Below are 16658 nucleotides of genomic sequence, written 5' to 3'. Positions count from 1 at the left end.
AGGGGTCAAGAGAATGCTTCTCAAATCCAAGAGAGAAATTCACCTGGGCCTCTACTATTAATGTTTTTAAAAATACATTTTAATTGGTTTTTATAATTTTTTAATTTTAAAATAATTTCAGGTGACAGTAAGCACCTTGTCTCAAAAAATAAAAATATTTTCAGACTAGTGTTGATTTAAATTATTAAAAATAAAATGGTACTAAAATGTGCACAAGCCAGGCACGGTGGCTCACATCTGTAATCCCAACATTTAGGGAGGCTGAGGCGAGTGGATCACCTGAGGTCAGGAGTTCGAGACCAGCCTGGCCAACATGGTGAAACCCTGTCTCTACTAAAAATGCAAAAATTAGCCGGGCATGGTGGCAGACACCTGTACTCCCAGCTACTGGGGAGGCTGAGGCAGGGGAAAATCACTTGAACCCGGGAGGCAGAGGTTGCAGTGAGCCAAGATTGCACCATTGCACTCCGGCCTGGGTGACAGAGCGAGACTCAGTCTCAACAAAAAAAAAAAAAAAAAAAAAAAAAAAAGTGCAGAAATATAAAACCAGGTACACAACTACAAGTTCAAAACAAACATAAACATTCAAATGCACAACATTAACATGAGGGGTGATGTTTTACTGGAACTAAAGCCCTGCCTGAAACCACGCAGATGCTTGCTCACTGCTGTGGGTCAGGGTGTTTGGAGTAGAGCTTCCCTTTCTGTGCTGCATGAGGACTCGGTTTCCTTACCACTTCCTCATTCCTAGTTACTGTGAAACTCGGCACGCTGGAATCTCATTTGACCTTTACTTGGTAAAAGCTCATCATGTATATATTTTCCTTTTCTGCTCATTTCCAATTAGCCCAAGACAATAAAAATGGAGCTACACGGAACCACCAAGAACATCAATGAACACAGGCACCACGACTTCATATGGCAGAACTAGGTTATCCGGGGCAGACCTGATGATCCAGAAATGGATAATCATTTTTCAAAAGATTATCACCAAAATAAAAACACTCAATCAATAAAGTTCTTCTATGGAACTCTAGACTCCTGGGGGTTCTATCTGTGGACTTCTTGAACCTTGGTTTATGAAACCTGGAGTAAGGACAGCCCTGGACAGGCCAGACGGAAGAGAGGAATTCTTTGCCACCATGTCAAAATGGGGCAGGAGAGATTTCTGATGACAGCCTGGCTCCACCAGGGCTCAGAAGAGCTTTTGTAACTGTCATAACCCCTCAGCAACTAACACGTTCCCTGAGCACAGTTCCGGAACTACTGATGGGACCAACAGCTCTGGGGACATCAGGAAGACAAGAGAGTGAAGAAGACTCACTCATTAATGAAGAAAAACCCGTTCCCTCATAGTAAAAGAGAATGCCCAAATTTTCCAACCAAGTTTGATCAATTTTACAAAGAAAGGACTTGTTGATCTGACAATTATCTGAGCTGTGAGATCAATGTCTTTCTTCTTACATTCCCTTTCTCTCCCCTCTTCTTGTTTGCTTTCTCAAAAGGTTTTGAAGAGACCATAACAAAGGACATATGTGCAGTATGAAATAAAAATAGAAAAAAAATATTCTATGAGGGCTGGGATTTAGAATCTCAATTGGCTGTGGGCTTCCTAGCAGCAAGGACAAAAGGGGAAATATGATTAAATCTTCTTGCTCTAGTTATCAGAAAAGAGAAACATTCCAGTTGTTTGGAGAGGAACATGCACAAGATTTCAAAGGACTCGGAAAATTCAGTGCAGGAGGGAGATTCTTGGATTCAGTTTGCCTGTGTTGGGGTATTTGGAGGGTTGCTTTCTTCAGCTGACTGAATAATGCCACGATTCACTTCCACCTAAGGTCAACAGAAAGCTTCCTCATGTATGGAACACTTTCACACATACCACATCCCATTTAAGGAACCCGTTGGGACTCTTCCAGAGGCTGCAGAGCCTACTAAAAGAAAGTTTATATTTAGCCGACCAGTCCCTACTCCAACCATGCGTCATTCTCTCCTGGGCTGGCTACCCCTGAGTACTAATCATACTTCATGCCAGTGGTTCTCAAACTTGAGCCTACATGAACGTTATTACCTGGAGGGCTTGTGAGAACACAGCTTGCTGGGTTCTCCTCCCAGAATTTCTGACTCAGCAGGTCTGACAGGCCTGAGAACCTGCATTTCTAGCAAGCCCCCAAAGTGTTTGGGCCGCCATAATAAATACCACAGACCAGGTGGCTTAAACGACAGAGATTTATTTTTTCACAGTTCTGGAGGCTGGGATTTAAAGACTAAGGTGCCGGGTGGGGCTGGTGTTCCCTGAGGCTTCTCTCTTTGGCCTGTAGATGTGCCTTGCTTGCTGCCTTCTCACACGGCCATCTCTCCCCCGACTCCACTCCCCAGGTGTCTCTTCCTCTTAATCTCCCCCCTCCCCCCTCCAGCCCCCACCGGGCATGCGCTCCAGGTGTCTCTGCCTCTAATAAGGACACCAGTCAGACTGGATCAGGGCCCCACTCAAAAGTCCTCATTTTCCCTCAATCCCCCATTTAACAGTCCTTTCTCCAAATACAGTCACCTCTGGAAGTCCTGGGTGTTGAGAATTCAACGTATGAATTTGGGAGGGACACAATTCGACCCCTATAACACCAGGAGATGCTGATGCCGCTGGACTAGGAACCAAACTTTGAGAACCACAGCTTTATACTATTTGGAAATGACTGTAATCTAATGTCTTTCACCAATTCACAGCTATACTTAATTACAAAACACAGAACCCAGGTTCGCCATCTGCTGCCGACAGACTCCTAGATCCACCCCCAGCCCCAGCCTCCAACTCCCTTCATCTCGCTTTGATCTCTCAAAAGTATAAATTAGGTCAGAGGAGGGCTGATTCTAGGAAACCGTGAACATGGCTCCGGGCTCTGGGCTGTGTCCTGCATTCTCGTTTAGATGTCTATTTTTAATTTGGACATTTATAAAAGGCAACCATAATTAGTTTAAGTAACAAATTTAGGGACTGTTTGAAAAAGTCTTTAAAATTTTACTACGTTTCATCTTAAAAGGAAGAGCTGGTTTCCCTTAAATTAAAACATTACTGCAGCGTTTGCAATTTCCCTCAGACACAAGAACCCAAACAGGAGGAAGAGAGGTCGCCCCCTTTGACTGTCTCGGGGTGGGCAGAGTCGGGGGACATGCAGGCAAATAGACCCAGAGAAACAGGTACATTTGGAAGCATTAAGTGACTGAGGGTTTTCTGAATCTGCCTTTAACAACTGTTAGCTTGGGTCTAGCCTCAGTTTCTCCACTTAAAAATCTGAATGCAAAACCCCTCTCAGCATGTCAGTTGTGCTGCCATCATCTTTCTGTTTCAGAATTGGGGGAGGGGGAGGAGCACCTGATGAGCTGATTTGCTCTGATTATATGACGTTTCTTTCTGGCAGAGGAATTACTAAACTCTCATGAAAAGGGCTAGTCATGAGGAATCACCGAAGACACCACATCCACAGCAAAAAAAGGGTCACATATTTATACTAGCTACCATATATTGAGCACTTACTATGTACCAGCTACTGTTGATCTTCACACTCTATGAGGTAGGTATCATTAGTATTTTCAACTTGTGGATAAGGAAACAGGCACAGGGAGAATAATTAACTTGCTCAAGCTCAGGGAGCTAGGAACCGGGTCTGGGGTTCGAGTCCAGGCAGACTGTGGTCTGAGACCCTGCATGGTGCAGCCTCCTGGGGTCTGGAGACCCACCCGGGAGTTATCGGCTCCCGGGCAGCCGCTGGAGGCGTGGGTCTCAACCCTAGCAGCTCACTGGGATCATAGGAGAGCTTTAAACACTGAGGACTGAGTCCCACCCCAGAGATCTGTTATATTTAATTGCTCCTGGAAATCTGAGGCTGCCCGGGTGGGACTCCACTATTTCAGGGGCTCCAATGCCAGGAGCTATAAGCTAAAGCAAAGAACTGGACTGGAGTGGTGACCGGCATATGATCTTGGGCCAGTTTCACCTTCCTGGTCCTCAGGTTTAAGATAGGGGACTTTTCATTCAGTAGAGCCAGGGGTCAAAGGTCTAGAAGGTCACAGGTCTCAGACATCTTTGGGTGCATTTTAGGGGAAGCACTAAGAATTACATAATGCTCAAAACCTCTTAGGTTTAGAAAAGAAAGGAGAAAAATATTGGGCCTTTAAAGAAACGATCTGGTCTGGACCTGGTACAAAACGTAAAGGGTTTAGGAAAGAAGTGGCTTCATGTTAACTGACATTAACGTTGTCAGGGAAATTGGTTTCTCTGGATTGTAACTTGTCACTAGGGAAGCACCTGTTTGACTGCAAGGAACAACAACTGAATCTCTGCAGAAGCTTTGCCTTCCTTTCCAAGGCAAAAGGAAGAAGGAAAATGCACCGTGGCTGGAAAGCATTTTGAGCCCTGAAGGTGAGGTAGGAGGCTCTGGGTGATAGTGATGGAGGGCCTGGTGTTGGCCTCTGGATCAGCCCCCAAGCCAGCCTCAGCTGACACTGGCACAGGTGGGTGATAGTTCTGAGCTCCATTTTAACCTTGGGATCTTTATAGGCAGAAAAAAATGAGCAGAAAGGAAAGCCCAGGATTTGCTGAGCAATGAGAAAGGGTTGTTTCACCCTAGTGTAGTTAAAGTACTTCTTTTGTAGGCAGGGTTTATATTGGGTGACCTGGGTTAGAGTCACAAACTCAAAGGCTCTCCAGAACCATCAGGAAATAGAAATGAATGGCCTCGGCACCTTGAATGGGAATGAACCCAGTCAGCGTCCACTGGGCCACTGAAGGTGGCTGATGCCACATAGATCTCACTGATACCGTCATTAGGGAATTGAGGACCTGGTCTTTCGAGATGTTTCAATTTCTCAAGAGAAGTCAGAATTCAAACCCAGAGCCAACATCATACTAAACGGGCAAAAGCTGGAAGCATTCCCCTTGAAAACCAGCACAAGACAAGGATGACCTCTCTCACCACTCCTATTAAACATAGTATTGGAATTTCTGGCCAGGGTGATCAGGCAAGAGAAGGAGATAAAGGACATTTGAGTAGGAAGAAAGGAAGTCAAACTACCCCTGTTTGCAGATGAGATGATCCTACATCTAGAAAACCCTGTTGTCTGAGCCCAAAAGCTTCTTAAGCTGATAAACAACTTCAGCAAAGTCTCAGGATACAAAATCAGTGTACAAAAATCACTAGCACTCTCATACACCAACAATAGTCAAGTCAAGAGCCAAATCAGGAATGAACTCCCATTCACAATGGCCACAAAAAGAATAAAATACCTAGGGATACAGCTAACCAGGGAGGTGAAAGATCTCTATGATGAGAACTATAAGCCACTGCACAAAAAAATCAGAGATGACACAAACAAATGGAAAAATATTCCATGCTCATGGATAGGAAGAATCAATATCATTAAAATGGCCCTACTGCCTAAAGCAATTTATATATTCAATGCTATTCCTATTAAACTACCACTGACATTTTTCACAGTACTAGACAAAAGTATTCTATAATTCATATGGAACCAAAAAAGAGCCCGAATAGCCAAGGGAATCCTAAGCAAAAAGAACAAAGCTGGAGGCATCAGCTACCCTACTTGCTATTCTACAGGGCTATAGTAACCGAAACGGCATGGTACTGGAACAAAAACAGACACATAGACCAATGGAACAGAATAGAGAACCCAGAAATAGGACCACACACCTACAACTATCTGATCTTCAGCAAACCTGACAAAAACAAACAATGAGGAAAGGATTCCCTATTCAATAAATGGTGCTAGGGGCCGGGCGTGGTGGCTTATGCCTGTAATCCCAGCACTTTGGGAGGCTGAGGCAGGCAGATCACTTGAGGTCAGGAGTTCGAGAACAGCCTGGCCAACACGGCGAAACCCGGTCTTTACTAAAAATACAAAAATTACCCAGGCATGATGGTGGGCACCTGTAATCCTAGCTACTTGGGAGGCTGAGGCAGGAGAATTGCTTGAACCTGGGAGGCGGAGGTTGCAGTGAGCCGAGATCATGCCATTGCACTCCAGCCTGGGCAAGAGAGCAAGACTCTGTCTCAAAAAATAAATAAATAAATAAATAAATAAATAAATAAATAAATAAATGATGCTGGGATAACTGGCTGTCCCTATGCAGAAGATTAAAACTGAATCCCTTCCTTACACCACAGACATAAATTAACTCAAGATGGATTAAAGACTTGTATGTGAAACCCAAAACTATAAAAACCCTAGAAGACAACCTAGGCGATCCCACTCAGGACATACACACGGGAAAAGACTTCATGATGAAGATACCGAAAGCAATTGCAACAAAAGCAAAAACTGACAAGTGGGATCTAATGTAACTAAAGGGCTTCTGCACAGCAAAAGAAACTATCAACAGAGTAAACAGACAACCAATAACAGAACGGGAGGAAATTTTTACGAACTATGCATCCGACAAAGGTCTAATATCCAGCATCTATAAGGAACTTAAACAAATTTACAAGAAAAAAACAACCCCATAAAAAAGTGGGCAGAGGATGTGAACAGACAGTTTTCAAAAGAAGACATACATGAGGCCAACAATCATACAAAAAAAAGTTCCGCATCACTGATCATTAGAGAAATGCAAATCAAACCCACAATGAGATACCATCTCACACCAGTCAGAATGGCTATTACTAAAAAGTCAAAATAACAGATGCTGGCAAGGTTGCGGAGAAAAAGGAACACTTATACACTGTTGGTGGGAGTGTAAATTAGTTCAACCATTGTGGAAGACAGTGTGTCAATTCCTCAAAGACCTAAAGACAGAAATACCATTTGACTCAGCAATCCCATTACTGGGTATATACCCAAAGGAATATAAATCATTCTATTATAAAGACACATGCACACATGTGTTCACTGCAGCACTGTTTACAATAGCAAAGACATGGAATCAACCTAAATGCCCAATAATAGTCTGGATAAAGAAAATGTGGTACATATATACCATGGAGTACTATGCAGCCATAAAAAAAGAGAGATCATGTCCTCTGCTGGGACATGGATGGAGCTGGAGGCCATAATCCTTAGCAAACGAATGCAGAACAGAAAACCAAATGCCACATGTTCTCACTTATAAGTGGGAGCTAAATGATGAGAACACATGGACACAGAGGGGAACACTCAGTGGGGCCTTTTGGAGGGTGGAAGGTGGGAGGAGGGAGAAGATCAGGAAAAACAACTAATGGGTACTGGGTTTAATACTTGGGTGATGAAAGAATCTGTACAACAGACCCCCATGACCCAAGTTCACCTATGTAACAAACCTGCATATGTGCCCCTGAACTTAAAAGTTAGAAAAATATAAATTAAAAAAAGAGAAGTCAGAATATTAGGTTTCATGTGATATCTCTGTATTCTTAAATGTTAGCTACAATCATTTTAGTGGTGTGAGCCGAACCATCCCTGTAGGGTTGGTGCCTCCCCCAGGTGTTTGAGGATAGTAAGGGGGTGCCTTCCTCTGGCTGCTCTCAGCCCCCACTGCCTCCAGCCCAGCTGCCCCTGCTCACTTAGTGGAACCTGTGGGCAACTGCAAGAGAAAGACAAGGCGGAACCAGCCAGACTGTGGGAGTCCCTGGGTGCAGTTAGGAAGGCTCACACTCAGTGGTGGATATTAAGAGACACCTCTGGAACCTCAGCTCTCCCATCCCCTTCCCTGCTTCCCTTTTCTTTGTAGTACTTATCTCCTTAGTTTATCTCAATTTACTTATTTTGCTGGTCTCTCCCTTCTTGAACGTTAACTCTGAGATGGCAGGTAGTTTTCACTAATTTTTGTTCACTGTTGTATTCCCAGTGCTTCACATACGGTGGACACTGAAAGCTTTGTTGAATGCATGAATGACTTTGGGACAGCAGGGATTGTTCGGGTCACAAGACGGCCAATGAGGCCTCGTGGGCTTCCTGTGCCTAAACCCGCAGCCCCCACCTCATCTTCTGGTGGAGATTTCTGGCTTAGAGCCTGTGGCTGCCACACAGGAGCTTAGCATCAGCTCTGGGGCTGGAGGCCAAGAGAGAAGAGCGGGGACTCTCAGCCCTGGGTAGAAATGCAACAGCTTTTGATGAGGGAGGGACGCTGGCACTTTCCACCCGTCTGGTGAGGCCAAGAAACAAGAGGAGGGGAATCAAATCACGCTGGAGGGGGAGGGCGCCAAGGGCTGCCCAGGAAGGACTTGGTCTGAGGCTGTGTGGTACCCCCGGGGCTCCCTTTCAGCCAGGCCAGGTGCAGCTGGAAGGGCCTTATTGACATCTCAGATCAGCTGTTTGGGCTTCCGGAGGCCTGGGCAGGGTGCCGGAGGGGGGCAGGAATAGGAATGGGGCTGCTGCCAAGCTGGCCTGCTTTCCGATGAATGGTGGCCCGGAACAGGAACAACGGTGAGGAAGGGATGCAGCTCCCACACTGCTTGGGAAATCAGAAGTAAGGGCAGGCAGGCTGAGCACCTGCTGGCTAGTGCTTTGGGGTCCTCGGAAGTCGCTGCTGGCAGGAGTAGGGGAGGAGGAGCATGGGTCCACTGAGCAGTCCCGGGTGGCTTACCCCTCCCCTAGCCAGGGAGGCCGTCAACCTCCCCTACCACGATGGGCCTCCCAGAGGGTGATGCTCTTGGGAGGCAGGGGCTTGCCTCCCTTCAGGATCTCCTCCTGGCCTCTCCCTTCTTTGAACCAGTTGGCTTCATTGGTTCTCTTCCCAGACTGACCAGAATATTCTACTTCTATTTTGGCCTAATCACTTGAGCCCTTCAGGCCTTAGTTTCCTCATCTGCAAAATGGGGACAACAATAAAGTCTACTTCTCAGGGTCATTTTGAGGATTAGATGAGAGCCCACAAGGAAAGCACATAGCATGGTACCTGGCACATAGTAGGCACTCAGGAAGTAGCTACTGTAAACCTTACAGAGGGTGGTTTCCCAAGTGCCGGGGGCAGGATAGCAGGAATGTTGCTTTGCCTTTCACCTGACAGCATTTCTCAATGTTCAGTGTATGTAAGAATCACAGCGGGAATCTGATGCAATGCGGGTTCCCAGACACCACCCTGAGTAATTCTGGTTCAGTGGGTCGGGCTGTCCTGGGAACCTGCTCTTGATCGCTGCCCCGTGATGATTCTATCAGGCCAATTCTGAGGCTGGTGGTCTCTGTTTCACTTTGAGAACTGATGATTGAGCGTCGCTTTTACATGAGCGGGTTCTGCAGTGAACGCCAAACACATTTGTCATCTGTGCAAAATGCCTGGCTCATGGCGACTTAATATCTCACTGACACAGAAGACCGATAGAGGCAATTGGCGGCAACTTAGATTGGCAGCTGTTAAGCAAATTGGAGGTCTGAAGAGCAATTTTCTGGCAATATCAAGATTAGCTATTAATATGTATTAACAGACTGTAAAGGATTCATGGAATTTCACAGTAACTGAACTATGAATTGAGAGGCACCCAAAGAGGTCCATTTATTTCTTAGTCAAGCAGCATGTTTTAACAATACCCGATTTCTCCATTGTTCCAAAGGCACGCATGAGCCATGCTCTGGGCCTTTCGTTTCTGCATGTTGCATGCTTCCAGTGAGAGGAAGGCTGGTCCTCCCCCAAGAGAGAGGTGGAGCTAGTTCTGCAGATGGGGCTCCAAAGCCCTCCTCCTACCCCTGCCTGGAAGACACCCTCGTTCTCTCCCCAGTAACCACCACCACCAAGCCTGGGGCCCCAACGGAGCCATTTCCACCACCTTTACCTTCACCCCTTTGCCTCAACCTGCTCCATCCTGATCATAGTTAATGTCACTATGAACAATGTGAGCTCAACTCATGCCCTCCCTCCAGGGCAGCTGGGATAAGGCCCAGGTATCTCAGTGTCCCAGGCACTTGGTGCCCAATACTTGCAGAATTCAGAAAAGGGTGATTAGCTTTGTGGCAACACATGAACATCTTTGCAGAGTACTAAGAAGATTTTGTTTATCACTTCACTGCCTTTTTCCTCTTTCAAGAAGGACGGCCCATTCTCAATCATAGTGAAAGTGGAACAGGAAGACCATCGTGGAGTGCTAGAGGGACAAGCACGTCTAAATCCATCCATCTGCTGTTCACTGAGGAAGTCAGACATCTCTGCGGCTTCTTAGGCCATGGCCGAGGACATGAAGATACAGATATCCAGGAACAGAGTCACACACAATGGCAGGGACACAGACCCGGGGCCCAGAGGTGAATAAGACACCCTCAATTGCATGACATCAGAGGTATTAATATTCTTCTGCCTGTAGAGCTTTCAAATAATTTTGCATCTCAGAGTCCTTAGAACCCAGAACTTCAGAGTTACAAAATACCTTTGTGATTATCTGATACCACCCTCTGATTTTCAGATGGCAAAACTGAGGCCCAGAGATGAGAGCTCATCCACCCACTCCCAGAAAGCAGCAGAGCAAAGACTGGAACCCAAATATGCCTTTTTGTTGTGCTGCTGGACAGCAGAGCAAAAAGAGGGATTTTCTCCTTCTATCCACCCAGCAGCCCTTGTTGGAGGTGCAGGGATGGATTCCAGGGCAGAGTGAGAGGGCAGGGAGTGTCATCTGTGTGGTGCCATAACATTCCTATGAAATAGAAAAACCATCTTTGCTACCTTCCATCAACCTCAGAGGAGTATTTTGACAACACATGTAGATTTATGATCAATGGAAATTATAAAACTAAAAAGAAGTGAGTGACCCATTTTATTATCCAGAATAGGGAACGTGGGATAGGTCCCCCTGGGCTGGCCTGATTTCAGAGCTCATTAAAGAAAAGTGAGGCAAGAACTGGGAAAAGTCTTTGCATTTTTTTCTTTAAAGGCCAGTGACCCTACTAAAACTAAGTGGTAGAAACTAAATACATTGATTTCAGGATACAATTTTTACAGAAAATCAGTGTCTCCCTGATCTCATTCAATAAATACTGAACAAAAATGGAGAGTATTTGCTTTGATGGAACAAAGGTTTACTCTCCCTAGGATGTCTGGAACTCTGCGGAGATGAGCAAGCTCATCAGCACAGGCTGGAGATCAGACTCTGGAGTCAGGCAGACCAATCTGGATGTAAAATTTGGCAATGGCCCTGACCAGCCCCATGATCTGGGGTCAGTAAGATTCACTCTCCTGGCCTCAGTCTCCTCATCAGTAAAGTGGGAGCTGAGAGAGCACAAACCTCACTGGCTCTTATGAGGTTTAAAGGGATGAAGTCTGCAAAGAACTTACTGTGTCACTTGACCCACAGCTGCTCTTAAGGGACAAGCAATTAATATTCACAGTTAAAAGTTTTTTCTCATGAAAAAAATAGAGTTCTTTACTATGTGGCTGTTTCCATCAAGGGGCAGCAGAGCAGAGTGGTTCAGAACACAGGCTCTGCAGCCAGACAGCCTGGGCTTAAAATCCGGCTCTAGTACTTACTGGCTGTGGACCTTGGGCAAGTTACTTAATCTGAGACTCAGCATTCTCATCTGTAAAATGGGGATGACGGTGCCACGGACCTCCTGTGGTTATAGATGATGGTGAGAATAGCTGACTGTATGCCTGGTGCACGGATGAATACACTGGCCGAGAGAAGTCACTCTACCTTCTAGAAATTCAGGCCAATGTAGTAATGAAAAGATGAGGACACCTTTCCCAACTAGAATTTTGCCCTAAGCTGCTGACAAGGAGGGAGAGTGGCTGATGTCACTTTTCCTTTCACTTTCCCTGCCTCCCCTGGTTGAAGCCCAAAAAGTGATGAGTTCAGGGTGTTCCAGGTGGAGAGGGAGAGAACGCTCAGGCCTGCTCTTGCCCGCACCCACTACCCGGGCTCCTCTGGCACACACCGGCGTTGGTTCCCAACCTCCCACTGACAGCGTCTGCCACCTGCAGGTCCCGCTTTGCCCTGGATGAGCTTCAGACTGGTCAGCTCACCCCTCACCCCTGCCCAGCAGGCTGTCTACCTCCCAGCCTGGTCCTCCGTCTTCAGGAGGGACCCTGCAACCTGGTGGCAGCTCCATCCTTGGCCTGAATCAGTCCAGTGACTGCCAGTTATGCAAACAGGCCACAGCCTGAGGCGCTGGGGGAGCCCAGTTTGAAGCAAGATATGATTTCAGGGAGAAAGCACACATTCTAACAGGGACAAGGAACAGAAAAGATGGCAATGCAGTGTGGCAGCTGGAGTGTAATTTAGTGGCCAAGAGAAGACACTAGTGTCAGATTCCCAGATCTAGCACCTACTAGCTATGAGGTCCGGGCTTTCTCCTAAAGCCTCTATTTCCTCACTGTAAAATGAGCCAAACAGTACTCCCTGCTTTAAAGGTGGCTGTAAAGCTCAGATGAGAGGAGGGAGTTGCACGTGCCCCTGCAGGTAAGTGCTCAGGAAACGCCTCATTGCATCATGGGGCGGGTGTGAGGATGAAGTCAGGAAGGCCAGACCAGGCCCTTGCCTGGGTGTGTGTTTAGTTCATGTTCACTGCTTTTATTAAGCACAGGTGCCATGGACGCATGGCACAGGAGTGCCGTTCCAGCTTGGGAGAGCAGGGAATGATTTTCCCAAGAAAGAAGTATTCATGCAAAGCCCACAGAGGAGGAGTGAGCTGGCGCCGAAGGCCATCTAAGAGAGGATTGGGTGGGGGAACAGGGAGTGCAGCCTTGAGGCGACAGAGAGCGGGGCACCTCTGCGAACCTCAAAGCTGGTCGGGAAGGGGAAGGGCTCCATGGCTGTCCCTGCACAGGCTTTATGCCCAAAATGACAGGGCAGGCCGGTCTGCTGAAGAAGGATGAGCCCGCGGGGTCTGGGAAGGCTGCAGCACCCCCTGACCAGGGCCTTCCAGAAAGGAAGTGTAGCAGACATAATTACACCGGTCCAGCAGGGCGGGACGTTGGGATCCTTTTTTATACACTAAGTGGCATTCTCTGAGCCAAAGCAAAGAACAGAAAGGTTCAAAAAAGCAAGTAGGATCGGGGCCTGGGGGGTGGGTTTTCATGAATGAATCTGCTTCCTGTGGCAACTGATGCCTCCAAGGGAGGCCTCTTGGCTCCAGGGAACAAAGGCATCCAGTGACAGCTGGGGACAGGCCACCCAGCCTTCCCAGGGGACAGCCTCGCCCTCCCTTTCCGCCTGGCTCATCTTTCACCTCCCCATGCCCAGCACATTCTCAGGCCAGGCCCTCCCTGCAAAACTGCCTGGTGGGGGATTCTCCCTCCTCTATTTCTGAAATGTTCTTTTCTTTTGAAAAACATCAAAACCACAGGCGCTCAAGAGGAGTCAGAAATACCTCCACTCTGTGTCTTCCTCCACTGCCCCGAGGAAGGCACTGGGCAAAAGGGTCAATGCGAGATCTGGAATGAAGCAGAAAGATCTAGAAGGCTCTAGATCAACTGATCATTCACTAACTAATCTATGACCCCAAGGTGGCCAGACAAGGGAAAACTACAAACTCACCTGCAGGGCTCTGTGATGCGTCAGGCATCCCACGAAGTACTTGACAGTCACCATCTCAGTTAATCCTCACAATAATCCCCAAAGTGATATCCCCAACTTACAAATGAGTCAACTGAGGCTCAGAGGGCTTGAATTCATGTCCCAAGGCTCAGGCCTTGCAAGTGGTGAGGCCCAGGTTCCACCCTGGCTGTCCTGTTCTGAAGTACATGTCTTTGGCCCCCAAGTCAGCCACCCCCACGATGACCTCCCGTGTGACCTCAGTCATTCCCACGGGGGATGGCAAGGAGCCTGCAGGCTGATCCACAGCCCAGATCTACGTGGCTTCTGGGTACAGGGAAGCCCCTTGGGCAATGATTATTGAACTCAGTTCTTAGTCGGGAAGTTCTGATTAACTTCCTTTCCTTAAAGTTGTTATGGAGTTTTAAAATTCCCATAGCTAATTGCTGAGGCAGAATATCCCATAAAGATCATCTATAAATGGTGTTAAAGGAAAGTCACATTTTATTCTCATAGATACTCCTGGTCTCAGTTGTGTAAGTCACAGGGTGAGGTTTGGCCTTCTTAAGCCCTGAAGCCACACTTGGTTTCTATCAAGACTCACAATGAAGATGCTTTATGCAGCAGAAGGATGCATTTCTCCTATGCTTTCAAAAATCAGATTTTCAGGGCAGTTTATACATGACTTCTAGTACACCTACAGCGCTGTGTGGGGGACTGAAAGGGACTCGAAGCAGTCTCTTTCATGGACACCTGGATGGAGTTCAGAACTGAACCAGCTTCTCAAAGGGCTACTCTAAGACCCCCAACCCTGCCAACTCCGGGTAAATCAGAGTTCACAGGCCAGACTCACAGAGGGCCAGGTGGGCTTCCCGAGTTGTACGTGCAGTGGGTCCCAGCCCAACAGCCCACCACTGCCTCTCTGAGGCTTTGCTACGCTCAGTCAGCCTGGGGTGCTCTTCAAACTGGGCCAGAATCCAGGAGGGCAGGGCATTTTCTCTGAAAGTTATACGAACTTCTAACCAGAAACATCTGGAAATACATGGGACTCTGCTGGATGCCTCTGGGTAAATCTCCAGCTCGGCCAGGCTGGGCATTCTCTGTATGAGCTTGTGAGTCACTGGTCTTTTTCTTATCATCACCCTCTACAAAATGGCCCTCCCCAACCTTCCTTCTCTCTTCTCTTCTCTCTCTCTTCTTCCTTTCCTTTCCTTCCACTGAACATGCCACACGCAGGGCAGTGAATGTCCTGTTCCTTCTCCATGGAATGTTCTTTCCCCAGATTCTGTAGGCACAGGGATGGTATCTTGCAGGGGGAACTTTGGGGAAGGGAGGATTTATACCAGAGGCGAGAAGCATGCTCTCACCTTCCCGTTGGACATTGCCCATGGAATGTCCCACAGGAACCTCCAACTTGGAATGTCTGAGAGTGGTCACTGCCCTCTTCCTGTGTCCCATCTCAGGGAATGGCACTGCTGTCTGCCCAGGTTCCCTGCCAGGTACCTAGGCACCCACTCCCCACAGCCTGGCCACAACCCCGCATCCTGGCAACCCTGGTACAAACCACATCCCCTTGAGCCTCGACTGCTGCTGACAATCCCCTAGTTTCTGGGCTCCAAGCCTGGGTCCCCTCCAGACCAAAACAGAGGCTCTGATCACAGCTCTAACTCTGCTGTCCTTGTGCTTTAAACCCATGACGAGTCCCCACTGCCTTCCATGGAAAGCGCAGATGCCTGAGCCTGGCACCCAGCATCTGCATCCTGGCCCCTGCCAGCCCCTCAGGCTCTGTCTCTCAGCAGCCCTGTCCCATGCAGGGCACTGGACCCCTGTGATTTCTCTAGAAGTACTGCGCTTTCTTGCACCTAAGGGACCTGCCCAGGAGCAAGTCCCCTGCCCCCAAGTCTCTCTGGATTTGCTCACTCTCTTCTTCCCGCTAACTGTGGGGCTTTCAGACCTCACCATATTCCTCACTTCCTCTAAGATGATGTCTCGGATGACCCAGCCCCACCACCAGGCTTGGATCAGTCAGGTATCCCCTTTTCCTGGTGCTCCGCCAGTGATCTAGGCTCATCTCTCTTATAGAACGTGGTATTATTATTTTTACCATTATTGCTGTTATCATTCACAGCACAGCCACCAGCACCACCAGAAGAGCTAATATATTTTGAGTGCCAGGTGCCAAGCATCGTCCTAAGCTCTTGTGTAATCACATTTAGTCCTTCTATCACTCCTACAAGGTAGAGACGTATTATATTTCCATTTTATAGATGAGGCAACTGAAACCCAGAGAGGTGGTCATTTAAGTCACAAAGCTAGCCGGTGGTGCAGCCAGGATTTGAACCCAGGTAACTGGACTCTGGAGCTTACTCTCTTCTCACAACATACTGTAACTGTCTGTTTACCCATAGATCCCTACCTCTGCTCCCTGAAGTTCAGGACTGTTGCCTTGCTCATCCTGGAATCCCCTGTGTTGAGCACCATGCCTGCCCCCAGAGCAGGAGCTCAAAAAATGTTTGCAGAACAGAAGCAAACCTGGCAATTTTGCAGTTTGCCCTGATGAGGGCATGTGGTGCCTGGCAGGGTTCACGTAAACAACACGATGATGATACAGAATCACTGTGTTATTTATCAGATAAACGCAGGCCCCACCCTTGTCTAAGCATCCCAAACCCTCCTCCTCTGGATCTCCATATTATCTGTCTTTTGTCTGTGTTCTCTTGCTGTTACTTTGCCATAAAGCTCCCAGGAGGCAGAGCGCCAGTTCTCACAAATCCTCCTCACCCTGGGGCACTTCCCTGAGTGCCTACCAGGAAAGGCTGTTGGTGGCTGACTGGGTATCCCATGGGGTGAAGGGTGGAATGAACTACAGGGCAATAACCCCAGGTCCTCATTCCTCCCCATGGCAAAGTAAGAAACATGGGACTGGAATATCACAGGCCACCCCGTTTTCCACCTGTGACCGTATTCAGAACTAGGGGCGGGAGAAACAGCAGGCATTTGGGTCCGGATCTTAAGGTCCAGCCCTGCCCTTGTTAGCAGCACAGCCTTGGGCAAGCTGACCTCTCTGAGCCCCAGTTTCTGCAACTATACAACGGGCCCGGGGTGAGATTTAAATGAATGACATTCATCTTGTGCCTACACAGGGCCCGGAACTGCTGGTCCTTCAGGAGGGATCGTGCCCCTGTGATCCTGAGGCCAACCATCTTTCTGATGAAT

General features: G+C 47.7%; 1 protein-coding gene across 4 annotated transcripts in view, besides 2 other annotated features; it reads right to left on the bottom strand.

Annotated features, from left to right (window-relative positions):
• CHST11 (carbohydrate sulfotransferase 11) overlaps nt 1-16658 on the bottom strand; it is a 305067-nt gene that overhangs the window by 11056 nt on the left and 277353 nt on the right. The gene's annotated exons all lie outside the window — the stretch shown is intronic.
• Nucleotides 7589-8210: an enhancer, noted in NCBI's record as "H3K27ac-H3K4me1 hESC enhancer chr12:105136527-105137148 (GRCh37/hg19 assembly coordinates)". NCBI's record gives its function as "activates a minimal SCP1, AML or CMV promoter by ChIP-STARR-seq in naive H9 embryonic stem cells {active_cell/tissue: H9 hESC(naive)}" and the evidence as "EXISTENCE:reporter gene assay evidence [ECO:0000049][PMID:30033119]".
• Nucleotides 9917-9966: an enhancer, noted in NCBI's record as "active region_6934". NCBI's record gives its function as "activates an Ori minimal core promoter by ATAC-STARR-seq in GM12878 lymphoblastoid cells {active_cell/tissue: GM12878}" and the evidence as "EXISTENCE:reporter gene assay evidence [ECO:0000049][PMID:35858748]".

The sequence above is a fragment of the Homo sapiens genome, chromosome 12 (assembly GCF_000001405.40).
Source record: "Homo sapiens chromosome 12, GRCh38.p14 Primary Assembly".
Classification (NCBI taxonomy): domain Eukaryota; kingdom Metazoa; phylum Chordata; class Mammalia; order Primates; family Hominidae; genus Homo; species Homo sapiens.
Note: the sequence above shows the minus strand (reverse complement) of the source record. Positions and strands in the feature narration are given on the sequence as shown.